Source organism: Homo sapiens, chromosome 12 (genome assembly GCF_000001405.40).
Source record: "Homo sapiens chromosome 12, GRCh38.p14 Primary Assembly".
In the NCBI taxonomy this organism is placed as follows: domain Eukaryota; kingdom Metazoa; phylum Chordata; class Mammalia; order Primates; family Hominidae; genus Homo; species Homo sapiens.
Window position 1 is genome coordinate 125,135,992 of NC_000012.12, and position 10,452 is coordinate 125,146,443.

At 53.6% G+C, this 10,452-nt stretch overlaps 1 protein-coding gene across 9 annotated transcripts in view, besides 1 other annotated feature; it reads left to right on the forward strand.

Annotated features, from left to right (window-relative positions):
* Positions 1-7,325, forward strand: part of AACS (acetoacetyl-CoA synthetase) — a 77,882-nt gene extending 70,557 nt beyond the window's left edge. For 5 of the 9 annotated variants that reach the window (NR_183033.1, NR_183032.1, NM_023928.5 and 2 more), the window contains 2 exons: positions 671-873; positions 6,101-7,325. Coding sequence is in view for 7 of the 9 variants with exons in the window: in NM_023928.5 (NP_076417.2) it covers positions 671-873; positions 6,101-6,238 (341 nt within the window). In the remaining 2 variants the exon portion in view is untranslated. Of the gene's footprint in view, positions 1-670; positions 4,938-6,100 lie in introns of those variants that run through there. The other 4 variants (NM_001319839.2, NM_001414676.1, NM_001414677.1 and 1 more) reach the window with 2 other exon arrangements.
* Positions 7,116-7,690: an enhancer, noted in NCBI's record as "H3K4me1 hESC enhancer chr12:125627653-125628227 (GRCh37/hg19 assembly coordinates)". NCBI's record gives its function as "activates a minimal SCP1, AML or CMV promoter by ChIP-STARR-seq in naive H9 embryonic stem cells {active_cell/tissue: H9 hESC(naive)}" and the evidence as "EXISTENCE:reporter gene assay evidence [ECO:0000049][PMID:30033119]".

Consider the following 10,452-nt stretch of genomic DNA (forward strand, 5'->3'; position numbering starts at 1 on the left):
CACTTCGGCCTCCCAAAGTGCTGGAATTACAGGTGTGAGCCACTGTGCCCGGCCACCTGCCTCCTTTTTTGGGAGGCCGACAGGGTCTCACTCTGTTGGCCAGGCTGGGGGGCAGTGGCGCCATCATAACTCACTGTAGCCTCGACCTCCTGGGCTCAGGCGATCCTCCTGCCTCAGCTTCCCGAGTAGCTGTGTCTCCAGGTGTGTGTCACCATGCCTAACTTAGGTTTTGATTTTTCGTAGAGACAAAGTCTCCCTATGTTGTCCAGGCTGGTCTCAATCTCCTGGACTTAAGTGATCCTCTCACCTCAGCCTCCCAGAGTGCTGGGATTATAGGCGTGAGCCACCATGCCCGGCCCTCTTTTTTATCTTGAATTAATTTCTCATTAAGTAAGGCCCACACCTGGCTTCCTGGTAGAACATCACCCATCCTGCCAAACCTGAAGCTCTCTCTGCCTCCCCAGTGATGGGTTTTCTTCCGCTTGTGAAACGGCCTCCTCAGCAAATGTCCCTCCAAGGCCCTTCTCCTGGGTGGACTGGGAGAACACAGGCACCGCTGGAAGGCTTGGGGGACCCAGCCTGCCCCTCCTGCTCTGCCAGGTTGCTGTGAGGCCCGACCCCACACTGAGGGGCCCCCTGCGTGAATGTGCACCCTCTCCTGTCTCCACAGTGGAATCCTTCGAGGAGGTGGAGGACAGCCTGTGTGTCCCCCAGTATAACAAGTACAGGGAGGAGAGGGTGATCCTCTTCCTGAAGATGGCCTCCGGGCACGCCTTCCAGCCTGACTTGGTTAAGAGGATCCGTGACGCCATCCGCATGGGCTTGTCTGCGCGACACGTGCCCAGCCTCATCCTGGAAACCAAGGGCATCCCGGTATGGCCATCTCCCGCCAGCGAGGAGACCGCAGCCATCGCCCCACGAGCCCACACATTGAGGGGCGCTTACATCTGAGCAGCTTGCCGGTGCTTTATATATCGTTTGTCCACGTTGCCTAGCAACGCCATCCTCTCCCTGCCATCCTTTTTCCTACCCTTCCTAAGACTGCATTTAAAGCAACTTCTGCTAAATACCCATGTTCAGAGGGTTAGCAGGCCCAGCCCTGCAGGTCCAACTGGCTTCTCCCTGCTATCCCCTGGTTTTAGTGTATTCTCAAAATTTTTAATGAGAACATTAATTTTAACTTTTTATTTTTTATTTTATTTTTTTGAGACTGAGTCTGTCACCCAGGCTGGAATGCAATGGCTCAATCTCAGCTCACTGCAACCTCCGCTTCCCAGGTTCAAGCAGTTCTCCTGCCTCAGCCTCCTGAGTTAACTGGTAGCTGGGATTACAGTCACATGCCAGCATGCCTGGCTAATTTTTGTATTCTTAGTAAAGATGGGGTTTTGCCATGTTGGCCAGGCTGGTTTCAAACTCCTGACCTCAAGTGATCCGCCCACCTCAGCCTCCCAAAGTGCTGGGATTACAGGCGTAAGCCACTCTACCCAGCCAATTTTAACTTTTTAAAGTGCTGCTGGGAGCCGTTGCTGTTGCCTTTTAGTTTTAAGTTCTGCTGGTACAGACAAGACTTGACTCTTTTTAGAGGCAGGTCTTCCTAAGGCTGTGTCGTCATCCCCCAGCCCCTGGCCCCAGTACGCTCTGCTTTGATTCTAAGTGGGGGAGGAGGAGGGTCACCCAAATTGGATCACAGCTTTCATTTGCATTGCTTACAAAACGGATACCCCGCAAGCTGACAGAAGCTGCTGTGTGTGTGTGAGTGTGTGTGTGTATGTGAATGTATACAACAATTTAGACAGTGGCAGGCTGTATTTGAAGCCTATGGAATGGCTATTCGTTAAGGAGAAGATGGGAGCACACACTCACTGGGTTCCCAGGGGAAGCTGACTTTGATGTTGCCCGGGAGCAGGGCTGATTCTGTGAGGTGTAACTAGAGACAGGATTTACCAGGAGAGTCTGCTTCCTGGAGAATGTTGAAATATCTGATGCCGTTTACTTTGAAACCCGTAGATCATTCTCTTTGCCTTAAAAGTTATTTCAACATCTTCAAAACAACCTGTCCAGGAGTGGGGGCTGGGGAGAGCGCTTGCAGCACGACAACGGTGTGCAATCCCTGATCATCCCTGGAAGACTGACTCCTACTCGGGACCCTGTTCCTCCTCCTCCCGGCGCCTGTCCACATCTGCGCTGACTCCCACTCGGGACCCCTGTCCCTCCTCCTCCCGGCGCCTGCCCGCATCTGCGGTGTTGGTTGCTTTTTGTGGTGTCCACACGTTTCCTTTGTGTTCTGGTTCTGCATGGGAAGAGCCCTGCAGCTTGGGGCTTTCCATCCATCTCTTTCTTTTTCCCTTATTTTTGGTTGGTGACTCTTGGCGGCTCTCTGTGGGGACACTGATGCTCTCCAAGAAGGTACTTCTTGAATCAGTGACCCTTATTGTCTTTTTCTGATGAGGGTCTAAGGTTTTCCTTCAGTGAATCAGTGCTGTCTTATCTGGAACATTTTAGGGAACTGGAATTTGCATTTATCCCCTTGGCTTTATATTATTGAAAAAGAACTTAGGTCTTTTGCTGCCAAAACAGTTGTTACCAAACCATATTTGATCACGAGAGTAGTGGAACAATTTATTATGAAGGGGGAAAACTCAGCACCTTTCTTTCCCTGGTTGTCCTGGCTTTTGTGGGCTTGCGTCCAGGGCACCCAGCTGGGCTCTGGGCTCTTTCTCTCCCCAGATAAGGTCTCCTCCTGGGTGCATTCGGGAAGTTATTTGGAGGGTTCTTCCAGATTTTTGAATGCCCTTACATTTTCGAGCCCTCACGGCAGGCTTAGGAGAGGATTTACCTCTTTTATTGCTGAGCTAGGGAGGGGTCCAGCCTCCACAGGGAGGTGACACGGCGTGGCCCCAGCCTGCCCATTCAGGAACTGGACCCACTTCAGGGTCAGAAGAGGACAACTGAGGTCTCATCTGCAAAGTCCCGGGGCCTTGCTGAGGCAGGAGAGCCTGTTGCAGGTCTGACCCTTCACATGTTGCTTGTAGGGAGTGGGCTACCCACCCCTCACCACCCCGAGAACAGCCTGAGCCCGGGGCGCATCTCTGTCTCTGTGTGGAGAGACACTGCCGCTTCTGTTCCCTGGGAAGCCAGTGCCATTTTCAGCATTTAGGGGGTTCCTGGTGAGGGCTCAGGAGAGATCTGGGCCCAGAGCCAGCCACACTCCTTGTGTTGAGTAAGACTCATCCCATCTCTGATCTGTGACACGAGGAGAGGAGCCCCTCACTCACCCGCCACAGCTCAGGGTGGTGATGCGGCACCATTGGAGTGAGCGGCCCCGGGGGACTGGGGAGGCTCTGGCCGGCGTAGTCCTTGCCGCCAGCCTTCACAGCGGGTTCTCTGAGGGTCTTTATGCACAGGGGCTCTGTCACTTAGCTCTGGCCCCCCCTCTGCCCCTGAGGCATGACTTTGGGCAACGCAGCATCCAAGCCTCAGTTTCCCCATCTCTAAGATGAGTTGACAACAGAGCCTCTCTGGTGGGTGCCGTGGGCCACAGGGTGCCCAGAACGCAGTCCCCGTGCCTCTGTTTCTGTGCTGCCTCCACTCACCGTCAGCCTTCATTCGGAGTAGGTGCGCATGCTGTGCAAAGCCCTTCCACACACCTGATCTCAGTTGCTCTCTGTGCAAAAGTCAGAGAGGCTTTCCCTGCATTTCCTGTTTGAACAGTGTCCTGGCCTCCATCTTTAGCTTTGACAGTGTTTACCATGGGGGTGCTGAGGGTGAGTTCTTGTGTATGTGCACATCTTTCTGGTGGAGTGGAGGCCTCTTGAGGACAGGAACCTTGTGGGTCTACCTCCTTTTCTTCGGAGCTCAGCTGACTGCCTGGCAAACAGCAGATGCTTTTGGTGTCTGGTGAGTGAATGGGGGGTGGGGAGCTGGTCCTGTGACCCTGGTGAGGCGGGACAAACTTGTCTTCCTCACACCCATCTTACTTCCTCTTATGAGGAAACCCAGAGAGATGAGGGGTCTTGCCCAAGGAAGGGGTGTCCATAGTCAGCTCTGCCTTCTGCTCACCCAGAATAAAGACCTGGGGACCCCGCGAGGGTCATGGCCAAGTGGAATGGACTCCTGGCATTTGAGGGCTTCCCGACTGCAGCCCTCAGGCAGCCATGGCTGTCCCAAGTCCAGCGGGCCTTTGCTCGGGTCATGGCTGGGATGTCTGGCCCTTCCTGACAGGAGGCTGCTGGGCTCCTGTCTACTTGGGGACGCCTCATGCAGGAGCTGGTGTGGGGGTGGGCAGGGGGGCGGTGGCTTCTTCCTTTCTCTTTCCCTTTCCTCTACCTTTTCCCCTCTCCCCAGAGGAAATGGTAGCAGGATTTCTTTTAAGAGGATGCTGCTGTATTTTGCCAGCGGGTGGAAGGTGGCGGTATTAGCTCCCGTGAGCTGCACGTGGACCCCTGTGTGAAGCGTAGCAGGGCACAGAGCAGGCGAGACGTTTGCATCTCACAGCGGGAGGGCCGGCGACATCACATGAAGTGACAGGCAGGCCCTTGGAAGCCGGTGCTTAGATCCTTAATTAGTTCACACGTCGACTGAATTTTCAAGTGAATGAATTTTAATTACATCTCAGGTTAAAAAAAAAAAAAGGCGCCAGTGATCGAGGACTCGTCACTGGGCTCTGTTGCTCCTGAAGTTTCCTAGCCCACAACACACCAACACTGCCAAGGGCTCTTCTGGATTCAAGGTGAAACACATGTGCCATAAATCTTGGAGCTCTGAATGTTTGGAAAGGGCCCGACTGTGAGAAGAAGTAACACACCGTCCCGTGCAGATGGCTGGCTCTGAGGAGGAGTTCATGGGAGCTTGGGGACACTCTTGCCTCTAGTTCTAGGAAGCTGGGCCACTTCTGAAGTAATGGCAATATCAATAAAGTAATGGTCTTTATCATAGAATAACGTGATAAAATATATAGAGAAGTAAAAAAGTATAAATAAAAGTAAAATCATCATAAAACATAGTAGCTAGGCACTTCTGAAGCTGTGTGTGCACTGATTCATTCACCCAGTGACTCACAGCCTTATAGCCTAGGTGCTGGCACCCCTACTTTCATTCGAGGAAGTGAACTCAGGTTCAGGAATTTACCCAGCATCCCCCAGATGGGGTGGCAGGAGCCACATCTTCCCTGAAAACTTTCTTGCCCAGGGTGTCTGCTGGGATTTAGGAATGGTCTATGCCTGCATTTTTATCCTGGTCAGGCTGACCCTGAACCCTGAGAGATACTCTTTTTTATATTCCCATCTGGAATATGCACTGCCGGGGTCAGTGGGGTGTCTGGAGGGCCCTCTCGAGGCCAGCTTGGATGTGACACGTGTCGTGGGTCCCAACGGGGCCCAGTAGAGTGTGCAGCGTTAGAAAAATGAACATGCTCGGCTGGGCGCGGTGGCTCACGCCTGTGATCCTAGCACTTTGGGAGGCCAAGATGGGTGGATCATGAGGTCAGGAGATCAAGACCATCCTGGCTAACATGAGACCATCCTGGTGAAACCCCATCTCTACTAAAAATACAAAAAATTAGCTGGGCGTGGTGGCAGGTGCCTATGGTCCCAGCTACTCAGGAGGCTGAGGTAGGAGAATGGTGTGAACCTGGGAGGGGGAGCTTGCAGTAAGCGGAGATTGCACCACTGCACTCCAGCCTGGGTGACAGAGTGCGACTCTGTCTCAAAAAAAAAAAAAAGAAAAAAAAAGAAAAAAAGAAAAATGAACATGCTCATGGTGACCTCTGGGCAACTTTGAAATAGCCTCAGTTTCTCAACAGCCGTGCCAGGGGGCGGGGGTGGGGTGTGGAGAGTGTTAGAGTTGAGTTTCAGCACCAGTCCTTGAAAGTGCCTTTCAGAAGAACAGGTTTTATCCCCCAAACAGAGAGACAGTGGTCAGTTCACCGTACTTCGGTGCACGTTTGCAGACCTGGTGGGAAGAGGGGCATCTTAGAGCCGAGACCCATTCACTCTTGGCACTCCAGGTGGAGCTGGGCCTTTGGGGCCTGGATATATCCAGGGCTGCGGATTTTCCCCCCTTCAGGTTTAAATGTTCCTGTTTTTCTACCTTTCCCTCGCAGTATACGCTCAACGGCAAGAAAGTGGAAGTTGCCGTCAAACAGATCATCGCTGGAAAAGCCGTGGAGCAAGGAGGTGCTTTCTCGAACCCCGAGACCCTGGATCTGTACCGGGACATCCCTGAGCTGCAGGGCTTCTGAGTCAGACTGGCTGGCGTGTCACTCAGCCGCACCCGTGTGCACTGTAACTTTTGTGTGCTCAAGAAATTATACAGAAACCTACAGCTGTTGTAAAAGGATGCTCGCACCAAGTGTTCTGTAGGCTTGGGGAGGGATCGTTTCTCTGTTTTGTTAAATCTGGTGGGTACCTGGATCTTCCACACGAGTGGGATTCTGGCCTTCAGAGACCAGGAGGGAGTGTCTGGGCCGCAGGTGTGGCACTGTGGTGAGAGTGTGTGTCTTTGCACACACAGTGCAGCGGGAACGGTGGGGCTGGCTGGTGCTGAAGACAGACACACTCCTGAGCCAAGGTCTTGTCTTCAACCTCCCCGTCCCGTTGTCCCATTTTGCTCTGTGAAGGTGCAAATCCCTTTCTTCCCTTCCCATCTCAGGCTCTCCTGTTTTCCCTCAGGGTCCAGTATGCCTTTGAGCTTTAGCTGTTAGAAAGGAACCCCCGTGACTTGACACAGCTTTCACAGCTGGCTGCTAGGACCGGCGGGCTGGGTGTTCACGTGTGTCTGTGTCATGGATGCAATGCAGGCCCTGGAGGACTGTGCGTCACCCGTCAACCAGAGCGTGCCTCCGGGCCAGCTTCCCTCCAAGGAATGAGTGGATTTCATACAGGATCTCTTTATTGCACAGACTGAATGGCTTTACATGTTTCTAATGTGAATTAGGCATGTGAAGCAGTGGGTGTCCACCCGTGTCCCTCATGGGTGAGCCCTCCAGCTGTGAGCCCAGGCAGTGTGGTCACCGAGTGAGGACCCTCCTCACCAGGAACCGCATCCCTGTGCTGCCTCCACCTGAGAGTTGCTAGGGGGTTCTTGTCGAGATCATGTCATCAGCACCCCTAAGTCAAGTCACGGGTTTCCATAGCCAGGCAGTTGGTATGTACAATTCAGTTCAGCGTATGAACTTGTATCTCTAATCTGATGTCCATTTTTATATTTTTTGAAACTGAGCACAATGAAATCCTTTCTTGAATCATTTTCCTTTTGGATTATAAAAATATGGGGGAAAGTGCTATGATGAATTTTATGCAATAAATGTATACATGTGTGCACATGCACCCATGCTGTGTGTGCAGTGTGCTGGTGTGTTTTCTCTGGAGGGGGGACCGCATCTGCGTGTGTGAGGCTGGTGGTGCTTGTGCGCCCGCCAACAGCTGTGCCCTGGAGTTGTGTGGTTCGAATTGTTGGGGGCACTTCCCAGGGCCCTGGTACTTACCCACATTCCCTTGTGACCAACGAGGAGTGCTGCTCAGTGTGAAGCCAGCACCCTGGGCCCCCTCCACCCTGAGATCCCCCAACACCCAGCGCCAGCCAGGTTTCTGGCTCCTTTCTTGTCATCGCAAGAGCTGCATGTCACTTGGGTTGTGTGTGGCTACATGCCACGGGATCCAGGCTTGGCCCAGCAGCGTTTATGGCTCTCACGTCACAGGAAGTTGGAGGCAGTCCATTCTCCCGGGGCCGGGCAGCAACTCCACAGTGCAGCAGTCCTGGCTCCTGTCTGCTGCACTCTGCTGTCCTCAGGATGTGGCAGTCATCATCTTGGCCCTGCCTGGCTGCCCCACCTCTAGTCTTTCATCCGTGCTGTAGGCAGGAAGAAGGTGGGAGTGAGAAGGGGGCTGGGTAAAGGCAAAAAGCTGCATCTCTGGAGTGTGTCCCTTTTTATCTGCAAAATGATGGCTTTTCTGGAAAGCCGGCAGCATCTGCTGGGCCTCACCAGCCAGCCTGGGGACACGCAGCCGCCTTCGCTGCAAGGGCATCCGGGGGTCTGAGTATTTCAAAGAGGACCTGTTCCCCTTTTTTGTGAGTTTCCAACAGCTGCTGTAACATTTCCACAAAGGCAGTGGCTTAACACAGCCCCAGTTTATTACAGTCCTGGAGGTCAGAAGTCTGCTGTGGGTCTCACTGGGCTGAAATCAGGGTGACAGCAGGGCTGTGTTCCTTCAGGAATCTGCAGGGGAGAATCCATTTCCTTGCCTTCTCCCGCTTCTAGAGGCCACTGTGTTTCTTGTCTGGTGCCCTGTTGTCTTCAGCAATGGCCGGTCACACCTTCCTTCCACTGTAGCTCTCTGACGCTGACACTCCCACCCACCGTGTCCACATGTAAGAACCCCCTGTGATTGCAGCAGGCCCACTTGAATAAGGATAATCTCCCTATTTTGATGTGTGCTGATTAACAACCTTAATTCCATCTGCAGCCCTCACTCCTCCTCACGACGTCGTAGTCCATTTTGTTTTGCTGTAACAGAATACCTGAAGCTGGGTGATTTATAAGTTAATAATTTATTAAGGGGTTCATTTGGTTCATGATTCTGGTGGCTGAAAAGTCCAAGACTGGGCAGCTGCATCTGGTGAGGGCCTCATGCTGCTTCCACTCAGGGCAGAACATGGAGGGGGAGCAGGTGCATGCAGAGATCACGCAGTGAGAGAGGAAACCAGACCATTCAACAACCACGCCCTTGGGAACTAATCTGTTCTCACGAGGCACAAGTGACGGTGAGAACTCACCCCCTACAGAGGGGATTAATGTATTCAGGAGGGATCTGACCCCTCCCAACACTGCTACATTGGGTGTCAATGTCAACATGAGTTTTGGCATATAGACAAGCCACATCCAACCCACAGCACCATGTAACCTAACGCATTCACAGGTTCCAAGGATTAGGATGTGGATATCTTTGGGGGGCTGCTACTCTGCTGACCTCACTTTGCAAACACAGTCTGGGTCCTGCTGGCCGAGGGAGAAGTGGATGGTGGTTGTTGGGAGCAGCAGGGAGCCCTGGTTGATGACACTTGGGCTGGGATTGTCCTCCCCTGTGAGTGGCCCGTGGGCCTTAGGGTTCAGGTCGGGCCTGGGGCCTGCAAGGTCCTCTCCTCTCACTGGGTGCCTGGAGATTCCCTTCATGTTGACAGTGCCTGAGGAGTCATTACAGCTTAATCAGCGTGCCCTTTAGTTCCAGCAAGACGGCCCAGGCTGAATAAGCCCACGCATCCTTATTAATAAGCCCTGCCGGACAACTTCATTAATGAGGGACAGATGGTCTGGAACAACAGCCAGTTGAGTGCACGTGGTGCTGAGCCTGCTTTTGACGTTCCTTGGCCCGAGCATCACTCTAAAGAACCCACCACCTGCCGGCCAGCTGCCTTTTCATCTCTGAGATGGCCGTGGGCTGCACCGTGCCTTCTCGTCTTCTTCCAGCTCCCCACCAGGCCTGGCCCATCAGGAGCTTCTGAAGGCATCAGGATCTGCCACACAGCCTGGCTAGGGCTGCCAGGATTCTGCTATCTCCCACGGCCAGCAGGCCTCTGAGCAGCTGGTCCTCCTCCAGGCCCTTCCTGCCCACCTCCAGGAACCTTCTCCAGGCTGGAGGCCTCCTTCTCATGCTTGGGCTGCCCAGCCCCACCTTCTCGCCCGGGAGGATTCTCCTCAACTGGAGCTGAACGATCAACTCCAGCTGCAGTCAGCCACTGACCTGTCCCCACAGGGGCATCTGAGCCCTCTAGGATAGGGCCCAGGTTGGCTCACTCATCTGTTTCCCAAACAGAAGGCCTGAAACCCACACGCCTTAGAAAAGGCATCCTCCTGATGTCGTACCACCCCTGTCACCATGGCTGTAGGTGAACAGAAGAGCCCCTTCCCTCGAGTCTGCAAATGCCCAGGAGAAGGGCTCATGGGGAACAACACTCCCTTTGAGGACCCAGCCACAACCTATCCTGTGATGGGCTCAAGCCTTCAGAGGGAATGTCACATGCAGCTTTATGGGGGATAATCTGTCACTGGGTTCAAGCTGGGCTGCTCTAACAGGTGCCCCCAAATCTGGCTCAATCCGGAATGTGTCTTCTCTCCTGTCACCGCTCTGAGGTGAATGGGTAGGCCAGGGCGGGTAGGTAGCTTTGTTTTGCAAGGTCACCCAAGGACCTGGGCTTCCAAATGGTTGCTGCCTCCCCTGGTGTGCAGGTCTTGTCCACTTGGAAGATGTTGGCTCACCACAGTCATGGAGGAGGTGACCTAACATTCACCCTCACCCCCTTGGCCACAACCTTGTCACCTGACTGCACTCAGCTGTGTAGGAGGCGGGGAGATGTGCTGCCCAGCAGGGTGACAGGTGCCCTCCCAGAACTCTAGTGGTGGGTGCAGATGGCTCTGTGACAAGGAAGGGTGGGGAATGGTGATGGGGGACAGTCGCA